The sequence below is a fragment of the Homo sapiens genome, chromosome 22, assembly GCF_000001405.40.
Source record: "Homo sapiens chromosome 22, GRCh38.p14 Primary Assembly".
In the NCBI taxonomy this organism is placed as follows: domain Eukaryota; kingdom Metazoa; phylum Chordata; class Mammalia; order Primates; family Hominidae; genus Homo; species Homo sapiens.
The window spans coordinates 22,016,591-22,037,281 of NC_000022.11; the positions used below are offsets into that span (position 1 = coordinate 22,016,591).

Below are 20,691 nucleotides of genomic sequence, written 5' to 3' on the forward strand. Positions count from 1 at the left end.
GCCCAAGCTAATTTTTTGTATTTTTAGTAGAGACCGGGTTTCACCATGTTGGCCAGGCTGGTCTCAAACTCCTGACCTTGTGATCCACCCACCTCGGCCTCCCAAAGTGCTGGGATTACAGGCATGAGCCACTGTGCCTGGCTGACCTCATCTTAATTTTATTACTTCTGTAAAGTCTCTATTTCCAGATGAGGTCACATCCTGAGGTATTGGGGATTAGGACTTCATTACATCTGCTTTGGAGATTTTCAACCCATAACAACCATTTACTGAGTGATTTCCCACATACAAAATATTTAGAATAAGCAAATTTATAGAGACAGAAAGTAGATTAGAGGTTATTGGAAGTGGGAAGGTGGGAGAATGAGAAGTTGTTGCTTATGGGTACAGAGTGTCTGTTTAGGGTGGTGAAAATGTTTTGGCAATTGATAATGGTGATGGTTGCAGAACATTTTGAAAAGTAACAACATGAAATGGTACACTTAAAATGATTTAAATGACTACTTTTGTTTATATATATATTTTATCACAATGTAAAGGTTTATTAATTTCCATAGAAGAACAGAGAAAGTTATCAAAAACTACCATGCAGGAAGCACCAAGCCAAGATAGTTTTATAGGGGAATGCTACTAAACTTTATCCTGAACAGGGACATCTCATTCTAAATGAGATGTGTCGGAGGCATATCTCACAATGTCAGGGAAGGGACAAGGACACCCACGTTCATGTATTCTAATTAATACCATACTGGAGAGCCTAGTCAGGGTGCTAAGGAATGAAAATTATATTAAAGACACAGGATTAGAAATGAATAAATACAATTGCTGTTATTGCAGATGACACGGAAAACACAAAAGTATCCATAAATTATTTAAGAATTAGAAGGAAGAATAGCAATAGAAGTTCTCAAGGAGTGCAGGATGGGTGAGGGGCGGCATGGGAATGAGACATGCATTTAGTATCAGTAACGTATGCAACAAAAATATTAAAACAATTCCACTTAATTAGCCTGTTTCCACCTTAATCACCTGTGTTCCATCCCAGTTGCTTCTTCTCCAGGTGACTTCACATGAAGGGCCAAGGGTTCCATGACTCTCCATTTGCAGCATCAAAAGTTTTGGCCCATCTTTCATCCTCCACTTCCCTGATTCCTTTTTTTTTTTTTTTTTTTTTTGAGATGGAGTCTCGCTCTGTTGCTCAGGCTGGAGTGCAGTGGCATGATGTCTGCTCATTGCAAGCTCCGCCTCCTGGGTTCACACCATTCTCCTGCCTCAGCCTCCCGAATAGCTGGGACTACAGGCGCCCACCACCACGCCTGGCTAATTTTTTTGTATGTTTTTAGTAGAGATGGGGTTTCACCGTGTTAGCCAGGATGGTGTCGATCTCCTGATCTCGTGATCCACCTGCCTCAGCCTCCCAAAGTGCTGGGATTACAGGGGTGAGCCACCGCACCCGGCCCTATTCCTTCTTGCTGTGCCTCTCATTTCTCTGCCTGAGAGGCCTCTCCTTATCTCTCTTGATGTCTGGCTGCTTCTCAACCCTCACCCATCAGTCACTGGTAACGTTCACAGACAAGCCTTTGTTCTCTGACCCTCACTGCTCCCCACGACTCAAGTAGAGTAGCCCCCAACCCACAACCCCAGTAGCCCTCCGTACGGGTCTTCTGTTGTTCTCACAGCACTTCTCTGAAATCAGCTTTCTTAATGGTTTGCTGACTTGTTTAGTGTTCTCAATCCCTTCGGCTGGTCAGAGTCCAGAATGTAAACCAAAAAGGAACAGACGCAGATCTTAATCAATTTAGAGGGAAAAAGAAACACAAGTCATAGTAGAATCTGTATCCTGTGCTTTATCCAAAGAGGGTTTTGAGGACTTCAATATTTAAAGGGGAAAGGGTAAGTTAGAAAGGAAGGAGAAAAGGAAGAAGCAGGAGAAAAATCAGAGTTGTGGGGTAGGCAATGAGGCAAATGGTAACATTCTTGTGACCACTCAGTAGGGACAGGCTCAGAGGAAGCAATTATAGATGAGTCTGGATGAGCTCAGTGAATCTACAGTTTACATATGAAAAGAAATGAGTGGGGGAAGTCAACTATGCATGCCTCTTCTGAATGGTGAATCTACATTTTACATAAGATGAAGTCAATATGTGAAGTTGCAGCTACCTCTGTGAACACAAGGAAGGCAGTTTTTGCACAACTCGGTTCCCAGGTGTAACTTTACCTTTGGCATAGTGAATTTGGGGTCCTGATATATATTTTTTCCTTTGACAAGGGATGCATTTTTGCATTCCTTTGAATGCAAAAAATTCTCCACCATTGGGACTTGTAGAGACTAAGAATTAGTAGTACTTCTTCTGGGCATGGTGGCTCACACCTGTAATCCCAGCACTTTAGGAGGGGAAGGCTGGCCGATCACCTGAGTTCGGGAGTTCGAGACCAACCTGGCCAACATGAAGAAAGTCCGTCTCTACTAAAAAAAAAAAACACACACACACACACACACAAAATTAGCCAGGCATGGTGGTGCATGCCTGTAATCCCAAGTACTCAGAAGGCTGCGGCAGGAGAATCGCTTGAACCCGGGAGGTGGAGGTTGCAGTGAGCCGAGATCATGCCATTGCACTCCAGCCTGGGCAACAAGAGATAAACTCTTGTCTGAAAAAAAAAAAAATAGTGGTAGTTCAAGTCCATGCTGGAGTCTTGGGATGCAGATATTTTGATGACCGCACCATGACCTGGCCACTCTCCTCTTAGTTCTCCTCACTCTGCACAGGTGAGGGCTGACCTGCCGTGGGGTGAGGACTCCACAGAGACCCTACCCATGCAGCAGCAACACCTGGGATATGCCCCCAAACTCCTGATCTTAGGAATAACAACTTCTCCTCAGGGATCTTAGAGATTCCCTGGCTCCAGGTCAGGCAGTTTGGCCTCCTCTGGGCTCCAGCCTGGGGATGAGGCTTGTTATCACTATTTAGTACAGGACAGCAGCTTTCAACAATGGTTGCATTGTGTTGGAGGCCCACAAGGAAATAAAATAAAAACCTGGGGGCTTCCTCTGACTTTTTCAGGCTCATGAAGAAGAGGCCAATGAAATGTGAGGAGATGTGGCCTGTGGGTTTCTGGTGGGTGGTGGCCTGTGGGTTTCTGGTGGGTGGTGGCCTGTGGGTTTCTGGTGGATGGTGGCCTGTGGGTTTCTGGTGGGCAGTGTTTTGTGTTTGAAGGGGCTGTTATCTAAAGGGGCTCTTTTTAAGTTGGGAGTACTACCAAAACTCAATAAATCCAATTAAGAATGCTTAGAATTATTCATTAGACACATATTTATATGCAACAGAATTCTAAATATTTTTGGGGTGTGATACTAGGCATTCCATACATTGTAAAGGACAGCGAGTCTAGACGCATCTACTTGGCCCTGATTGAGTTTCAGAAGAAACTGAGAATGCTGCTGGAATAGCTGAGGGAATCGTCACTTACCTGCTTTTTTCCCCTATCTTTCAATTCCATGTAGTGACCAGGGAACAATTATGTAGATTGTCTATCATTAACTGTGTCGATTGGCTCCTTCCTGTCATCTCTGGCACAGGAACAGTGATCCCCTAACACAACTTTCCTCTTTAGTTTTCAGGAACTGAGTCTCTTAACTTGTGCCTAGATCTAGAGCCCCATCTCCTCCTGTTTCCAGCAGTCCTTGAACTCAGCTGTTTGAGGAGAATTAAGGGTGGCCATGAGGGTACAATGGAGTTAACTCCCACGGAGCGCTTGTGCTTGGGGAGGATCTGGACCACTGAAGCCTGACCACAAGAAGTGATATCTGCTACGATGTCTTTAGGGTTAATGAAAATGAGCTATAAGGGATGATGGTGGAATGTTCCAGGCATTGTTAACAGCATTTGTCAATAATATTTTTGAAAAGAATATCTGGTTGTTGATTCTATTTACTAAGAGAGCTTGCATTGGGCCTAAGTGTGGCAGATCTCAGTGGGGACAGGGTCAGAGGAAGCCACTCTAGGTGAGTCTGGGTGACCTAAAGGAAGGATGTGAATGGATCATTAAGAGGTCGCATATGCTTGACTGCAGAGGCCATGGTAGTCACTGAAGTGTCCTCCTCTGGCATCTGTGAGCTCTGTAGGTACAGAGTGGAGAGTGGATTAAAGGGTAAACTGAGGCAACATCTGAGACTGGGAGAGTAGTTAGGCATCAAAGACAATATTTCACGGAGAGATGACAATATATTTTGTTAGATTTGTGACAGTGGAGAAGAAGGGAAGTTAGCAATCTACAATCCAGAAGGAAAGAGTAATTGGAGAGAATTAAAAATTAAGTGTGTGCCCCGTGGCAGGAAAAGGAAGGCATCTAAGATGACTCCTACGTGTCTGGTTGGAAGTTACTATATATATAAATATAAATATTTATATATATAGTAAAGCAGAAACCAGTGAAGTCATGTGATATTTGTAATTTGTTTTAATATCATTCAGTGAGAGATTAGCATGAGAGGTAGAAGGAATGGTTGAGGCTAGTCTATGCCTGTGGAGAGTTTGTTGAACTAGTCTCTATAGTTTATGTAACTTCAAAAATTACCTGATACACACACATACACACACACACACACTGTCACAGGTGGAATTCTGAAAGTTGCCAAAATATAAGCTTCCACCCTGACTTCCAGTTGAATCCCATCTCCCCCCAACAGACAGAGGGGGAGCTGGTATGGAGACCATGGAAGGGACAGAAACTCAGGATTCCCATGACAGAGAAGTGAGTAAGGCTGGAACCCCAATCAAGGGGAGGGGCTGTGAGCCAGTCAGAGGCCAGACCAGGAATGTGCCTTAGGGAAGCTGGGGAGTGTGAGTTTTATACAAACAGCAATGAGGAGTCAGTGCAGGATTCTAATCCACGGGGTGACCTGCCCAACATGAATAAAAACATCTCTCTGGATGTTTGGGAAGAGAGTACCTGGGGAAGAAGGGGATTTTGTGTGTAGGTTGTTACTGGATGGGCCCATGAGCTGAGGATTTGGGGGATCATTCACACAGTTAAAGTAAATTTGGATATGGAGTATGATGAGGAGGTGATGATTTCTAAATTTTCCTGTTCAAGTTTTCTACATGTCTACAAACACATTAAAATGTCTCTCTTAGCTTCATAATTAACCAAAACAAAGAATAAGCAAATACAGGTTTTTTTTAAAAAAGGTTTAAATGTAAACACATTATATGACACTAAGTCCAAATTCTGATATAAAATATCTGGAACAACTATTTAGAAAACTACAAACTTTAAAAAATAAACCTCACTTCATAAAATAAAAAGTGTGTATACACTATTAACTAGTGTATTAGGCCTACCAAGACCATGACTATTAGTAAATCACATCTAAGCCCTATCAAAACTCTAAGAGCATTGTGTGCTGTTAGAGGTAAAGCATTGTGTGAAATGTTTGCTGAGAATTGCCATCTTTTAAGAAGGCCACCAACCTTATCTCCTGGGAATTTTCCATTCAATGCCATTCCCTGAACAGCCCCTACACATGTTTGAAACCATCAACTGTAACAGTGTCTGTGATGCTGACCAGATGGCACACGTGGGTCATTCAACTTTTTCCAGAATATACTCTGGGGGTACAAACACCTTAAAAAGTTACATTCACAGCAGTTTGTACCACATAGAAACCAAGACTCCTTTTGGGAGTGAGAAACTACAATAATAAAGTACAACATATCAGGATCACAGAAGGTAGGATTCGGATGATGGATGTGTGAACAGAGATGATGGATGGTGAACTACAGAGACAGGCTGGGCTCTCAGGTCTCTGGGCCACGGAAGGAGTGTGTCCTGTAACCAGCACAGGACACAGCTCAGTAAGAACCATATACTCCAAGGAGCTCGGGGCTTGGAGCTGGGCCCTGTGCTCACTGATGGGGACTCAGCAGCTGTGTCCTTTCTGGCCTGGCAGAGTCCCCTGAGCAGGGACCTGTGTATGGTCTCAGCAGGTGCTTCCTCCCAGGGCCCTCCCAAGGCGGGAAGTAAACCTTCCTCCTCCTCAGGCTGCAGTGTGAGCTGAGCTCCAGCTCCAGGGCTCAGGGAGGGGCTGGGCAGTCCCCTGATGGAAACACACTTGCATGAGCAGCCCCTCCTCTGCAGAGGGTGGGGAAGAAAAGGATGCCTGGGGCAGTCCAGCCCCACGGTGTGGTGGGGTCAGGGGCTGTGTCCACCATGGACTTGACTCCTCCCCTCCTTGTGATCCTGTCTCACTGTACGTGTCGGGACGGGCCTCAAAGACCAGCCTACATCAGAAACTTTGACTGAGGCCCCTGAGAAATGTTACCCTGAACTCTGCCTTAGTATCTGGATGTGTCTTTTCACCTGATAGAGTTATAAAGATTTTCCCAGTTAAAAACAAAAGCAAAGCTCTGCCAGACTCGTGTTCGTGGCTCCAAATCTGCTTCAGCCACTGAGCAGGAGCTGAGAGGGAAGAGAGAGAGAAGAACACAAGATCCATATGGGGAAGGATTTCTATGAGGGTGTGGCAGTGAGAGCGGGTGGCAAGTTGCCAAAGAGGCCTAAGCCACAGAAGTGGGTTTCATGTGGGACTTTCGGAATGAGCAGGAGGGCGATGGGTGGAGGGTGAGGGTCAGAAGATTCTAATCAGAGGTGAGAACCCAAAGATGAGTTATTGGTCATTCAAGTCAAACAGTGAAATTACCTTGGCCTGTGCCTCCAGTCAGTGGAGCAGGGAAGGGGCCAGGATGTGCTTCCTGCAGGTGTTACTGGAAAGGGGTCCTGATTCAGATCCCAAGAGAGGGTTCTTGGATCTCATGCAAGAAATAATTTGGGAGGAGTCTATAAAGTGGAAACAAGTTTATTAAGACAGTAAATGAATAAAGGAATGGCTACTCCATAGACAGGGCAGCACCAAACACTGCTGGTCGGCTATTTGTATAGATAGTCCTTGATCATATGCTAAATAAGGAGTGGATTATTTATTAGCTTTTCAGGAATTCTTTTTAAAAATATAGACCACATAAGGTAACTTGTGGATGTTGCCATAGCATTTCTAACTGTGAGGACAACCAGAGGTCACTTTCCTCACCGTCTTGGTTTCAGTAGGTTTTGGCCGGCTTCTTTAGCGTATCCTGTCTTATCAGCAGGGTCTTTATGACCTGTATCTTGTGATCCCAGTCTGGTTGACTTCCTAGCTCATCCTGTGACTAAGAATGCCTAACCTCCTGGAAATGCAGGCCAGCATGCCTAAGCCTCATTTAATCAAGCCCCTATTCAACATGGAGTCACTCTGGTTCTAACACCTCTGACTTAGGGTGGCTGCAGAGCTGGAGGTGCAGATTGGGGCAGATCAGCCTCCTGAGAAAAGCACACAGAGCCACTGCGGGGCTGTGAGGTGGGAGAGATGAACTCACATTGGCATTTGATCAGTGACTCTCCAGCTGTAATGAGAATAGAATGGAGAGGCCTGGGACAGGAAGACAGGATGTGGTTGCTCATGCCATCCTGGTGGGAAGATCTAGGTGAGTTACTGTGGGGTAAAGAGGAGAGAGCAGATTCCTTGTCACTTTATGCTGTAGAATACATTGGACATGGAGAGGGCTTGGAGCTTGTGTGTGAGAAAAGCAGATCTATCTCGGCTGACTCCCAACAAACTGGCTGAGAATTTAGATGGAGGATTATTATTAAATAAAAGAGGAAGACTGAAATGAATATTGTCATCGTATTTTTTTACCCAGGGTTGGGATAGGTGGAAATGTGTGTGTGTGTGTGTGTGTGTGTGTGTGTGTTTAAATATTCACTAATTTTTCAATTCAAAAATATTTACTGCGTGACTACTAAGTAATAATATTATACAGGTTTTAGCGTTACCATGGAGAATCAAATTGTCAAGGTCACAGGCATCTTTTTGTTTTGTGTGGATCACTGTGAAAGATACTATGCTAAATTTTTTCTGAATCATGCAGATGAAAGCATTAAACACATACACAAACATTTACGTTTGTGTGTGTGTTGTGTGTGTGTGTGTGTGTATGTGTAATCTATCTCAGCATACAATGCCACTGAAACTACACTTGCGGATTAGGTCCTCGGAAAAATAATCGTGTTAACATTCACGATGCAAATAGAATGGTACCTGACACAAAGTAAGTGCTATAAAAGAATACTTGAGGCTGGGCGCGGTGGCTTATGCCTGTAATCCCAGCACTTTGGGAGGCCGAGGCCGGTGGATCACCTGAGGTCAGGAGTTTGAGACCAGCTTGGGCAACACGGTGAAACCCCGTCTCTACTAAAAATACAAAAATTAGTCAGGTGTGGTGATGGGTGCCTGTAATGCCAGCTACTCGGGAGGCTTAGGCAGGAGAATCGCTTGAACCTGGGAGGCGGAGGTTCAACAAGAGCAAAGCCCATTCTCAAAAACAAAAAATTTGAATGGTTAAATCACATTGGACTGTGAGTAAAGGGCTTAGACAAGGTGTCTCGGAACTTTTGGGTCATCTTCTTGATCTTTCCATAAAACTCTAACCCTTCTATTCTTAACCTCCCCCATTCCCAATTTCACCCTGATGTGCACATCCTACCTGGTGCCTAGTCATCCCGGTGGCCCCTCTCTGGGCTGTATCTAGGGAGAGTGGTGACCTTGGTCATCTTCCTCAGGTCCAAGTATCCATAAGAGAAGCAGACTTTTCTCTCTTTCATAATGATGGTCTCTTCTTGAATAATTTCCCTGTGCATTTTCATTAAGGGTCTCACCCCATCAAGGGTGTGATGAGGACAGTGATGAGGGTCACGGAGCCCGGCCTCCCACGGGGGGATGTGGGGTATGATGAGAGAGAGAAGCAGGTGCCCTCAGGCCCATATGGAGGCTGGGGAGGGTTGTTAACCCTCCTGCCCTCCTGGCCACTGGGTGCAGGACATGTTCTCTCTGAGGCTCACTCACCTATGGCCCCAACCACACAAAAATCTAAATGGGGAAGAAGCAGAGGATGACTTCATGCTGAGGAGGCCCATCTTGCAGCGAGAAATGTGCTGTGGTGAGCACCTGCAGCACAAAGAGCCTGGGGTGGGGGTGGAGGGGCGTGAGCGCTGCCTCTGTGTGGGGATGGTGTGCGCAAGGCAGTGCTGAGGACCTTCAAGCCAGTCAGGAATGAACCTGGGCTCTGAGACAGTGGAGGGAAGTGTGGCCTGTCCCTGAGGGTCTGTGGGGGTTTCAACTGGGAAACCAGGCCCTGGACCCCTACCCTGGGCCCTCTGCTCTGTGCTTTCTGGGGCCCAGCAGCTGGGACCTCCCAGGAGCAGAAGAGGCTCCTCTAGCCCCACCCCACACTCAACTTTCCCCAAGTTCAGGCCCAGGGATAGCAGGGGGAGGGGTGTGATTTGCATGAAGGGTGCTCTGTGCCCTCTTAGGAGGAGAGGATAAGAGAGACTCTGTGCAGTTCTGCTCAGCTGTGGGCTTAGGAAGCAGAGCCTGGGGCATCTCCACCATGGCCTGGACCCCTCTCCTCCTCCAGCTTCTCACCCTCTGCTCAGGTGACTGCCTGTGGAATGCCAAAGTGATTATTGGGGACACATGGGATGACTTTTCTCTTATATTTTAACATTGTGGGGTGGGTAGTGAACCCAGACTCACCTCTCTGTGCCTGCCTCCTCTGTTCCAGGGTCCTGGGCACAGTCTGCGCTGACCCAGGAAGCCTCGGTGTCAGGGACCGTGGGACAGAAGGTCACCCTCTCCTGTACTGGAAACAGCAACAACGTTGGAAGTTATGCTGTGGGCTGGTACCAACAGATTTCTCACGGTGCTCCCAAAACTGTGATGTTTGGAAATTCTCTGCCCTCAGGGATCCCTGACCGCTTCTCTGGCTCAAAGTCTGGGACCACAGCCTCCCTGACTATCTCGGGCCTCTAGCCTGAGGACGAGGCTGATTATTACTGTTCAACATGGGACTACAGCCTCAGTGCTCACACAGTGCTGCAGGCACATGGGGAACCGAGACAAAAACCTGCCCTTGGCCTGTCCCGAGGCTGATCACTCCATACTTGCCTATGACAAACAAAGAGGGTGCCTGTGGCTGATCGTACAGTTTAAGCAAGGGAGGAAGTGAGACTCAGCCACAGGCCCCTGCAAAGGGTCAGCGGGCCTTGTTCCCACATTGTCTCTATTTGAAAAAGTGAGATAAATTTCACTTCGTATAAAATGTACAATTAAATTGTCTTATTGTGTTTACAGAATTATGCATCTATCACCATAATCTAATTTTAAAACGTTTTCATCACCCCACAAAAAAACCCCCACAATTAGCAGCCACCCTTCACCCTTTCTCCCCAGCCACTGGTCATTGCTAAAGACTTTCTGTAAAGAACATGCATTTAAAGACCTAAGAAACTCAGTGATGCCAAACAGCTAGGTTTTTCAAATGCCCAAGCATGTAATAATAGATTACTGAAACCAAAGATAAAGACACAATTATGAAAGCAGACAGAAAGCTTTATAATATATACAGAAAATCAACAATTCAAACAATGAGAGGTATTTTATGAGTATACATTGAGGCCAAATGGCAGTGTTATGTTCTTACAAAGTCAAAAGAAAGAAAGAAAGAACTGTTGAGTCATAATGCTATATCCAGGTAAAGATTTTTTTTTTTTAAAAAAGGTAAAAAATAAGACTTTGTCAGATGAAGAAAACCTGAAAGAATTCATCTAAAAAAAATCAAAACAAATCAACTCTAAGAGAAAATTTTCAGGTGGAAGATAAATGATAATGGAAACATTGAACCCAAAGAATGCAGGAAGAATAACCAATAAATATAGTAGTAAAAGACCAAATTTTTAGCTCTACAGTTCTGGAAAATATGCATATCAAAAGCTAAGTTATAGCATTTTTGATATAATTTCTACTTATGAAAAATATTATATATACATATATACACATATATACATATATATACACACACACACACACACACACACACACACACACACACACACATATATATATATACATGAAACTTCAACCAAAAGAAGGAACTGTAAGGGGTCTACATGACTGGGAAAATATTAGGCCTATTATTAAATCTAAATAGATCATGAATAGTTACATGTACATGTTGTAATCTTTACAGCAACCAATGTAAAACTGTGCAGAGATACCAATATAAAATCAATATAAAAATCAAAAGAGCCCACTAAATAATACTCAAATAATCCAGAAGTAGCAGAAACAGGGTGGAGAGGAACAAAAGTTATAAAGAGAAAAAGGAAACTTACACTAAAATTGTAAGCTTAAATCCAACCATGTGAATAATTTCATTAAATGTAAATGAACTAAGCACATATATTAAACACAGAGTTTGTCACACTGAGAAAAATAAAAAACAAGAGACAAGCATGCGATTCTATAATAAACTCTAAATAGAAGTATATACACAAAAGTAAAATGATAACACAAATAAACACCTAGTTAAAATGGCATAAAGCATTACTTCAATGTTAATTGCATCATTCTGATTTTCTAAATTGCATATTGTGTTGTAAGATGCCACTTTTGAGGAAAACTGGTTGAAGTGTAACTAAACCTTTATTACATATTTTTTCACCTTAATGTGTATCTATAATTATGTTTACAGAAAACATTAAATGAAAGTAAAAGGATGGAAAAGTTTTATCATGTAATCCTGAATTAATAACACAAACATATAGTGTGGATATTTCTTTGCGTTTCTTTTTTGTTGTTGTCGTTGTTTTTTGAAAAAGTCTCATTCTGTTGCCCAGACTGGAGTGCAGTGGCACAATCTCGGTTCACTGCAACCTCTGCCTCCCAGATTCAAGTGATTCTCCTGCCTCAGCCTCCTGAGTAGCCGGGATACAGGCGCCCGCCACCACACCCAGCTAATTTTTGTATTTTTAGTAGAGATGGGGTTTTGCCATGTGGGCGAGGTTGGTCTCGAACTTCTGACCTCAGGTGATGTGTTCACCTCGGCCTCCCAAAGAGCTGGAATTACAGGCATAAGCCACAACGCCTGGCCTTTTTTTGTTTTGTTTTGTTTTTGAGACAGTGTCTCACTCTGTTGCCCAGGCTGGAGTGCAGTGGTGCAATCATGGCTCACTGCAGCCTCAAACTCCCAGGCTCAAGCAATCCTCCCACCTCAGCTTCACAAGTAGCTAAGCCTACGGGCACGCACCACCATGCCTGGCTAATTTTGCTTATTTTTTGTAGAGACAAGATCTCACTATGTTGCCCAGGCTGGTCTGTAACTACTGGGCTCAACTGATCCTCCTGCTTTGGCCTCCCAAATTGCTGGAATTACAGGCATAAGCCACCACACCTGGCCCAGTATGGATAATTCATGGGTAAAAAATGTAATACTTGAAAAACAAATTAGATGTTTTCTTATTATTTCCACATAGCAGAGTACTAACTGTAGGACATTGGGATGTACTTTTGAATAAGAAATGAAGGTTTAAAAAAAGATAAAATAAAACAAAATAAGTGCCTAAAACTGACTGGTGAGGGGTTTACCCAATGCATGAGCAGTAGAAAGAATTTAATTTTTTGCATCCAGGATACTAAAAAGTGGAAAGATAGATTTCTTTTTTTTCCTGTTTTACTTCTTTTGGGTTGCTCTATTTGATCTAATTAAAAAGCCTATTACTCCTATGCTATGCTGATGGAAGAGAAGTCTTCTCTAACTTAGTCCCAGTGAGATTGCCTCCTCTGGGCCAACAATGCTCATCTAGAACTTGGAATTTCGATAAATCCATTCTGAGGTGATGAGCAGCAGCAGCACCAGAAAAGTTGATCCAGGCCATCTAGGACCCTCCAGGGAAGGGCTCAGGCCTGTCAAAGAGGCCTGATAGAAACTGGGGCCTGCAGTCAGTCAGGGACATTGAAGCTCTCCTGACACGGTCCCACCAGCTGGGAAAACACTCGGGGTCTCCCTCGGGTTTGATCAGATGGCAAGTTCCCCATTCCCTGATTGGCCCAAAGCTTTGACCTGTTGGACCCGGGGCCTATCAAAGGCCAGGTGTCCTCTCCCCATTGGAAACCTCCCTAGGCTCAACTCTTCTCTTCTCATTCTCCTGCTGGCCTGGGAGCATCCAGGCCAAGGGGTGAGGTGGGGACAGCCCTACATTAAGTTTTTATTTCAAGGTAGAAAATCTGTCCCCTTGATTGTTTGGGAAACTATAAAAAGACTAGGGCAGCTCAGGGTCTAAAATACAGCTTCAGGGAGTACAGAGTTAGAGTGCAGAAACTTCAATTCCATTTACTCTCTAGCAATTTACCTAATATCAAAACATACAGTTATGTTATGTTTACAAATATGCACGCACCTCTATTAATATGTGTTCATAAGTACATACACATGCACCATTACGTTTACACATACATGCATGTAACACCAACTGATGTAAAAATCATTGTTTTATGTACTCAGTTTTCCTTTGAGTTTACCCTCTTTTCTCTACTTTTTAAAATATTTATTTCTAATTTGGGGAGCTACTAACTGAGATTATTTTTCATCTCACTGAAAAACAGTTTTAGAATTTCCTGTAGAGCAGTTCTGCTGGTGGCAAATTCCATCGGGTTTTGTCTGAAAAGTAGCCATTTTCTCCTATTTTTTCTGTTTATTATATAGAAAGATAACTTATATAAAGTAAAATTCACAGGTCTTAATTATACAGTTTGATGGTTTTTACAAATGCAGATGCTCATGTAGCCAACAGTCCGATCCATTCTCACAACATCTCCATTACTGCAGAATGGAGACATTCTGTTCCAGTCAATGTAAATTATCCCATTACACCTACCAAATAGAACGTGTATGAGAGACACCTTTCTCCTGAGGACTTTTGCAAAGTGGGGTGGATCATGTGTCCCGCTCCCACTGAAAAGGGCTAAATGGAAAACTAAAGTCTGAAATAAAATAGGAGGCTGCCCTGACGAGGGGTCCCACTTTGCCCTTGGACAGAGAACAGGCCGTGGTCAAGGCCCTGGTCCGGGCAGAAGCCTCTGTCAGGACCCACTGGCATCTGGTCACAGACACGATGGACCTGGGCCTAGGCAGAAGGGGGTGCTGTTGGTCTGCTGCTGAGGGCTCTGTGGGTTTCTCAGCTGGGAAACCAAACACTTGAACTTGGTCTCCACGCAGGGTTCACTGGGGCCAGCAGCTGGGCTCTCTCTGCACCCTTGGAGAGCCTCAGGCCAGGCCCAGCCCAGGTAACCCCTCCCAGAAATGTCACCCCACCACTGGGACTGACACTCAGGCACACGGAGTGATTTGGTTGGGCAGAGGAAGAGGAGCACATTTGCATGAAGGGCCCCTCTCTCTCCTCTGGGACTACAGGGTGGGTAAGAAATACCTGCAACTGTCAGCCTCAGCAGAGCTCTGGGGAGTCTGCACCATGGCTTGGACCCCACTCCTCTTCCTCACCCTCCTCCTCCACTGCACAGGTCAGGATGGCCCTCAGCACCCTGACCTCCAGCTCACTGATACCACCTCCCAAACTTATGCCAGGAATGTCCTTCCCTCTTTTCTTGACTCCAGCCGGTAATGGGTGTCTGTGTTTTCAGGGTCTCTCTCCCAGCTTGTGCTGACTCAATCGCCCTCTGCCTCTGCCTCCCTGGGAGCCTCGGTCAAGCTCACCTGCACTCTGAGCAGTGGGCACAGCAGCTACGCCATCGCATGGCATCAGCAGCAGCCAGAGAAGGGCCCTCGGTACTTGATGAAGCTTAACAGTGATGGCAGCCACAGCAAGGGGGACGGGATCCCTGATCGCTTCTCAGGCTCCAGCTCTGGGGCTGAGCGCTACCTCACCATCTCCAGCCTCCAGTCTGAGGATGAGGCTGACTATTACTGTCAGACCTGGGGCACTGGCATTCACACAGTGACACAGGCAGATGAGGAAGTGGGACAGAAACCTCAGCCTGCTCAGGGTCTTGTTATATGACAAGTTTTAAATTTTCAAATATGTTTTATATGTACACACTCCACTTGGAAGCACCGTCTGGTTTAAAATGTTTCTACTCTCAATTTCTCATTCAAGTTTTCTGAAGTCTCAGGAAAACTAAAAACAGAAACAAAAATATCATGATGACTATGAAATATTACCTAATTTTCCAAATATGCTGAATTCAGTGCCTGTGGAGCTAACCATTTTCTCTTGACAGAAGAAAAATGAGCCTTAGAAATTGTTTCCAAATCCTGAAAGAGTCATCATTCCATGTACTCAGGACAGATTTAGAGAGTGCTGACCCTGCCCTTTGAAAGATGTTATTTGCCTCTTAGTGCCCAAATAAGGAAGGATAATTAGGAATCAGAAGCCTACCTAGGGCTCCCCTCTCTCCTCTCAAAATTGCACTTGGTGTCATATTGCCCTAGAATTTATGCCTGGTGCTGGCAAATATTTTTAAATTTATTTTTTAATCTTTTCCTTTTCTGCAATCAAATTTCTTGAGGGGCTGAGAAGAAGAAATAGGCCCAGAGAGAAGCAAGGCAGTCTGGGTGCAGGCTCTAGACAGCCCAGGGAGAAGAAAGAGGGAGCAGCTCCCTGTGTCCTGGAGGGAGCCCTGTCCCCATTGGGCTTCCTGCTCTGATGTCCCCTAGTGGAGGCTCCTCAGGGAGTCCAGCCTCCCAGAACTGCCCTATAAACCTCACAGTGAGCTAAGCAAGTATATCCAGGAAGGAGGGTCTGTGGAGATGTGAGACTAAGGTGTGTTATGGCCTAAACACTGCCCATCTCCATCCTTCTTGGGGATGACAAAGTGAACAGTGGAGGAGACAGGATACATGGGTGCATCTGGACCTCAAGCAGTAGGCTGTTCTGTGGTCTGTCCCTAAATCTTGTGCTGGAGACCCCATACGAGAGCCACTCCCTGACCCTGGGCTGGAGCCCTCTACCCCCTGCTCACAAGACCAGCAGCTGTTTCCTTATAGGCCCCCAGGGAGCCACAGAACAGCATCAACCAAGACCATCCTCTTCATGTGTCAGCTTTTCAGGGAGGGATCGAAGTCATGGCCCAGGAAAGGGCTTGGACAGCCCAGGGGAGGAGGCTGGTTGGTATGAAGGATGCCCTCCTCACCCTGAGCTGCTGGAGGGAGTACAAGGGACTTGGAGAGCCCAGGCTCAGTTGATGATCCTCAGGATGTAGAGCTATGTATGGGTCTCCACTGTGGTCTCTCCCCCGCCTTCTCCTTCACTGCACAGGTGGCTAGGGCTCAGTGTCAGGGCTGGTGATCAAAAGACCAAGGTTTATGCATGTGTCTCTGTCCACTGACCCACCTCTCACCCTGTGTCTGTCTTAATGTCCAGCGTCCTGAGCCCAGCCTGTGCTGACCCAGCCACCTGCAGTGCATGCATCTGTGGGGCAGGTGGGTACCAGCTCCTGCACTAGAAGCAGCAGCAATGTTGGGCACGGGCATGTGCTCTGGTACAAACATGCCTCCGAGAGACCCAGAGCTCCACATATATAAAAGCAGTCATTGACCCTTAGGGGCATAGGCCCAATGCTGAGGCTCCAGGTTGGAGAACATGGCCTCTCTGAGCATCTCTGGACTCCAGGCAGAGGAAAAGGCTGATTTTTATTCTCAGCTTGGGACACAAGCACCAAGGCTCAGGCAGTACTTCAGGCCAGTGGGGAAGTGGGAGAAAAAGCTGCTGCCCATCCAGCAATGGAGCTTCTCTGTGCAGCCCCCACTTCTTGGGCAAGTCAGCTGATTAACGTTGCTTTTCATTTGTTTAGTAAAAATTTAGATTTTAAAACTCACTCCAGTGAACGCAGTGTGGAGAATGTGTTTCTGTCCTCTCAATTCTACCCTCACACCCAACCCTTGGCAGTAACAAATTGTCGTATTGTCTCATATTAAGAGAAATCCCTCAATACCAAGATCAGGCTGTCCTGGAAACCAAATCCATAATGGGTCAAAACAGGACCAGGGTCATTGTGTCTGACTCAGGATAGTCGACTCCCAAAGGTCTGTTTATCCACCTCATTCACTGAGAAGCTACTATGCACCAGCCTCAGATCCAGGGATTCAAGGTACATGATGAACAAGAGAGGAAGGGGCCCTGTCCTCATGGAGCTGACACTGAGTGGTGGAACAGATAAGGCAATCAAGTAAAAATGTCAATGCGACAATATGATGTCATCACACAGTGAGGAGAGCTCAGTTGGGGGTAGAGGAGCCATCAGAAGGTTGGGCAAGGAAGACACAGGATCTGACTCAAGTTTATGAAGAAAAGTCCAGATGCCTCAAAGAAGATGAACAAGGAGACAGCAAGCATGAAGGCCACGGGGCCAGTTGGGGTCATTGGAGAGAAAGGTCAGGTCTAGCCTGTGTTTGTAAGAGGAGGGACTGAAGCCTGGGTGAGGAGAGAGGGCTCAGGAATAGCCTTGGAAAGTGGAGGGAGTGGATGCGAAACCCCTGCTGAGGGGGCCTCCATGAGCAATGAGGCTGGGGGAGGCCCTGAGCTAATCACCATGATGGAAACTCAGACAACAGCCTCCCAGCCTCTTTCAAAGTTGTCACAGGACGCTTTTCTCTCCAAATGGCAAGGGGGGAATCCCACTATGAGTTTTATTTGAGATGTCTCTTCTCCATGTCCTGTCCTGTCCCTAGGCTAAATTCCCATGCGCAAACAAGATACTGCTCAGTCTCAGGTATCACATTCACACACAAATGCTCCAGAATGAGGGAATGCACTCTGACCAACCCACCAGGAATTTTTGCCTTTGAGAATACTAGATCAGATCACTCACACCATCTCCCCTGACACCATCATGTTGACCAGTGGGTTGTCTGATCGGTTTGGACAGCAGAATGCAGATGCCTGTAGTTGCAGCTGGGGTCAGTCACATGCTCATCTCATGGCTGGGAGACTTTGGGTCCAGACAACAGGAAAAAAAGGAGGTTTGCCTACGTGATCCCACAATGTGCATCACTCTGTCATCCACTCCCATCCTTAGTTCATGTTGGGTTTTGTCCTGTAGATGCTGGGACCTGGACAGGATCACAAGCCAGGCGATTTCTGGCTCACAAAGTTACAGCTCAAGCTCCCTGATGTTGCTGACATTCTTCCCACAGACCAATTTTAGACAGACACACTATTGCCATGCAGGCACTGACCTGAGATACAGGTAGTCTCAGGAGAGGGAGGAAGCAGATACACATCCCCATGATGGCCTCCTTGTCCCAGAGTGGGTAAGAAAGGCAAGGAGGCCAGGAAGCCACAGGAGTGGCCACTGCCCACCACCTGTGCACCTGTCCCTCCCTCAGGTGAGAAGCAGCCTGAGGGTCCAGCACCTGCACCTTTCCCAGTGCCCACACACTTCCAAGTGGGGCCTCCTTCTGCTCACCTCCCAAAGCTACTGCTTTCCGGGACATCTGTGTCATTGCTGAGAGTCTACTTTTCATGGGGCCCTTGTCCCAGTGGTCTGGGATCAGTGTCAGCCTGTTTAATTCAGCACTGTCTCTGTCCTTTCAGGACACCAATCTAGCTATTAAAGCTCTAATTGAATTCTCCTTTTTTTGCCCTGAAACTTTAGACTCTCCTTCTCAGTGTCTCTCTAGAATATTTTGTCTCTATCCAATAAGATCAAGTTATGTCTTCAGGCCTACAGCCACTTCTTTCCCCAAATTCTGCACCTTCTTTTAAGTTCTTATTCCCTCTTATGGCTTATTTTCCACTAACTAGCTAATGATGCCAAAACATTTATCTATTTTACCTCCTTCAGGAATAAAAAAGAAAAGCATTTATCAATAGCCCATTGTCACAAAGAAAGGAACAGAGGAGAGATATCTTCTAGAAAAATACAGGTGAACAAGGAAAAAGTTTTAATTCCTCATAGGAACTACTCCATGATCCAAGAAAATAAATTCCAGAGATTCAAGAGTTCACTCCTTAGAAACAACAGTGTAAATACAAGGTAGTAAATTTTCTTGGTTTTCTCAATGAATAACCTCAAAAGGGTTAGAGTATGATTATAATAAAAAGATTATACATTACTTTCAAAAATGTAAGATGAACATGTCAAAAATTTTAATCGACTCATATTTCTGAAAAGACCAGTAAAATGGTGAATAATTTTAAAGAACATTTTAAAACACACAGAGTTTCTATTCCACGAGGGCAGGACCTGTGAGGATAATTTCCTGTGTTAGAGAAACACTGTCCTAAACAACAATAGTAGAACTCTCTAAGCTCTGAATTTATCTTCTCCTGTAAGAAAAAATCTACAAAGTGACAGGATCCAATTTATATAAAATATCTAGCAAAGATTTTGGACATTCCCATCTCACACCTCCTCTCCAGGCTCTCCTCAAGTGAAATCTACTCTCCTTCTGCCCGTGTTCTCACCTTTCTGCACGCTTCCGCCTGCTGACACATGGCTTCTCCTGCTTTCCTTTCCAGTAGCCCTAACAGATCAGGCCCTGCCAGTAAGTAAGCTCCTGGCCTGAGGGAACCACATCGCATGTTACTGGATTTCTGAGGCACTTGCCCTGCCAGGGTCTCTCTTTCTGAATCACAATCCCTGTATTCCTGGGAATTCTCTTCTCCTGGATTCTGTTATTCAGCTCTGTGTTTCTCCCTCCATATCTACTTTGTGAATTTCTCTACATCTTCACCTGAATCCCAGGAAGCCTAAGGACATGCTGATGCTTCCTCAGTTCTCATGTCACACCCTGTTCCCTCCTCCTCTATGATCCCACCAGGTCATCCTGCATCAGAACCCTGAGTGCGGCAGAGGCTTCTCTGGCCTCCTTACCCCCAGTGGCAGAAGGGAGGAAGGGAGGTCCCCTGTGGCCTCCCATCCTTGTGCTCCCATTAGGGTCAGCATGAAGCAGGAATGAGGCTGTCTATATCATCATGGCATTCCCAACACTAAACTCTGTGCCCAGGAGAAGGTAGGCACTCAATAACTATTTGACAATTGAAGAACTGCCTCTCACCACACTGGCCACATTGTACTGGACTCAGGATGGGGCTGAACTGGAAGAGTCAGCTGTGAACCTGCTCTTGTCTCTGCCCTCAGCCTGAGAGCTGAAGGGGAACCTAACAGGGAGAGCACCCATGGGCAGGGAAGGTACATTAGTAGCCTCATCCTGTTTGTGAGGCTCTGCTCAGCCTTGGGAATCCCTGTTTATTCAAGGCAGAGAAGAAGGAAAACAATTAACCAGGCCTGGCCAACAGGCAGCATCTACAAGGCGATGAGTTGAGGGCCAGATGGTCAGAGTTGGTTCTGGCATCTCTCAGGCGCCTCTCTCCATGTTGCCCTTTTTTGCGATCCAGGGGTGAGGTTTCACCCCACTGAGCCCCCACCCATCTAGATGGGCTCTGCTGAGAGAAAAACCCATTTTCTAGATGAGCCCACTGAGGCTCAAGGGGCACATGTACTTGGTGATGCACCTTCTTCCTTTAGAGACTGGTCAGCCTAGAACACCCCCTCTCGAGTGGCCTTCTGGTCCCTCATCTGCCCAGCCCCACCCAGATCTCCATGAACCTGAGCTGTGTGAGAGAAGAGGGAAGAGTAGGAGGAAGGGAGGAGTCCAGGCCATGGTGTGGATGTTGCAGGAACCCCTGGGTCTTCAAACTGAGGCTGGACACCGCAATGTTCTTTTTATCTCCCTCAAATTTTTTGGTAAAATGTCAGTGCTTGTCTGGTCCATTATTCAAACCTGATTCTTTTTACCA

At 45.7% G+C, this 20,691-nt stretch overlaps 3 pseudogenes, 1 gene segment (V, D, J or C) and 1 further gene, besides 11 other annotated features; 4 read left to right on the forward strand and 1 right to left on the reverse strand.

The window, feature by feature from the left end:
- Positions 1–20,691, reverse strand: part of PRAMENP (PRAME N-terminal like, pseudogene) — a 52,836-nt pseudogene that overhangs the window by 25,492 nt on the left and 6,653 nt on the right. Inside the window, exons 2-4 of the transcript NR_135291.1 lie at positions 9,632–9,737; positions 8,583–9,539; positions 6,704–6,840 (exon numbers count right to left, since the gene is read on the reverse strand). The product of NR_135291.1 is annotated as a PRAME N-terminal like, pseudogene (transcript). The remainder of the gene's footprint in view (positions 1–6,703; positions 6,841–8,582; positions 9,540–9,631; positions 9,738–20,691) is intronic.
- Positions 1,780–2,387: an enhancer, noted in NCBI's record as "OCT4-NANOG-H3K4me1 hESC enhancer chr22:22372768-22373375 (GRCh37/hg19 assembly coordinates)". NCBI's record gives its function as "activates a minimal SCP1, AML or CMV promoter by ChIP-STARR-seq in primed H9 embryonic stem cells {active_cell/tissue: H9 hESC(primed)}" and the evidence as "EXISTENCE:reporter gene assay evidence [ECO:0000049][PMID:30033119]".
- Positions 8,734–8,913: an enhancer, noted in NCBI's record as "active region_18713". NCBI's record gives its function as "activates an Ori minimal core promoter by ATAC-STARR-seq in GM12878 lymphoblastoid cells {active_cell/tissue: GM12878}" and the evidence as "EXISTENCE:reporter gene assay evidence [ECO:0000049][PMID:35858748]".
- IGLVI-70 (immunoglobulin lambda variable (I)-70 (pseudogene)) lies at positions 9,486–9,963 on the forward strand (annotated as a pseudogene). Its single transcript is given in 2 exon segments — positions 9,486–9,531; positions 9,660–9,963. Coding segments are annotated over 2 exon segments (350 nt in total).
- The window catches only part of IGL (immunoglobulin lambda locus), an 896,838-nt gene continuing 885,632 nt past the window's right edge, over positions 9,486–20,691 (forward strand).
- Positions 10,014–10,133: a silencer, noted in NCBI's record as "silent region_13520". NCBI's record gives its function as "represses an Ori minimal core promoter by ATAC-STARR-seq in GM12878 lymphoblastoid cells {active_cell/tissue: GM12878}" and the evidence as "EXISTENCE:reporter gene assay evidence [ECO:0000049][PMID:35858748]".
- Positions 12,060–12,129: an enhancer, noted in NCBI's record as "active region_18714". NCBI's record gives its function as "activates an Ori minimal core promoter by ATAC-STARR-seq in GM12878 lymphoblastoid cells {active_cell/tissue: GM12878}" and the evidence as "EXISTENCE:reporter gene assay evidence [ECO:0000049][PMID:35858748]".
- Positions 12,778–12,907: an enhancer, noted in NCBI's record as "active region_18715". NCBI's record gives its function as "activates an Ori minimal core promoter by ATAC-STARR-seq in GM12878 lymphoblastoid cells {active_cell/tissue: GM12878}" and the evidence as "EXISTENCE:reporter gene assay evidence [ECO:0000049][PMID:35858748]".
- Positions 13,607–14,387: an enhancer, noted in NCBI's record as "H3K4me1 hESC enhancer chr22:22384595-22385375 (GRCh37/hg19 assembly coordinates)". NCBI's record gives its function as "activates a minimal SCP1, AML or CMV promoter by ChIP-STARR-seq in naive H9 embryonic stem cells {active_cell/tissue: H9 hESC(naive)}" and the evidence as "EXISTENCE:reporter gene assay evidence [ECO:0000049][PMID:30033119]".
- Positions 13,765–14,024: an enhancer, noted in NCBI's record as "active region_18716". NCBI's record gives its function as "activates an Ori minimal core promoter by ATAC-STARR-seq in GM12878 lymphoblastoid cells {active_cell/tissue: GM12878}" and the evidence as "EXISTENCE:reporter gene assay evidence [ECO:0000049][PMID:35858748]".
- Positions 14,388–15,167: an enhancer, noted in NCBI's record as "H3K4me1 hESC enhancer chr22:22385376-22386155 (GRCh37/hg19 assembly coordinates)". NCBI's record gives its function as "activates a minimal SCP1, AML or CMV promoter by ChIP-STARR-seq in naive H9 embryonic stem cells {active_cell/tissue: H9 hESC(naive)}" and the evidence as "EXISTENCE:reporter gene assay evidence [ECO:0000049][PMID:30033119]".
- Positions 14,404–14,882, forward strand: IGLV4-69 (immunoglobulin lambda variable 4-69). The segment is given in 2 exon segments: positions 14,404–14,452; positions 14,573–14,882. Coding segments are annotated over 2 exon segments (359 nt in total).
- Positions 14,465–14,544: an enhancer, noted in NCBI's record as "active region_18717". NCBI's record gives its function as "activates an Ori minimal core promoter by ATAC-STARR-seq in GM12878 lymphoblastoid cells {active_cell/tissue: GM12878}" and the evidence as "EXISTENCE:reporter gene assay evidence [ECO:0000049][PMID:35858748]".
- Positions 14,685–14,744: an enhancer, noted in NCBI's record as "active region_18718". NCBI's record gives its function as "activates an Ori minimal core promoter by ATAC-STARR-seq in GM12878 lymphoblastoid cells {active_cell/tissue: GM12878}" and the evidence as "EXISTENCE:reporter gene assay evidence [ECO:0000049][PMID:35858748]".
- Positions 14,815–14,934: a silencer, noted in NCBI's record as "silent region_13521". NCBI's record gives its function as "represses an Ori minimal core promoter by ATAC-STARR-seq in GM12878 lymphoblastoid cells {active_cell/tissue: GM12878}" and the evidence as "EXISTENCE:reporter gene assay evidence [ECO:0000049][PMID:35858748]".
- Positions 16,312–16,615, forward strand: IGLVI-68 (immunoglobulin lambda variable (I)-68 (pseudogene); annotated as a pseudogene). Its single transcript is given in 1 exon segment — positions 16,312–16,615. A coding segment is annotated over 1 exon segment (304 nt).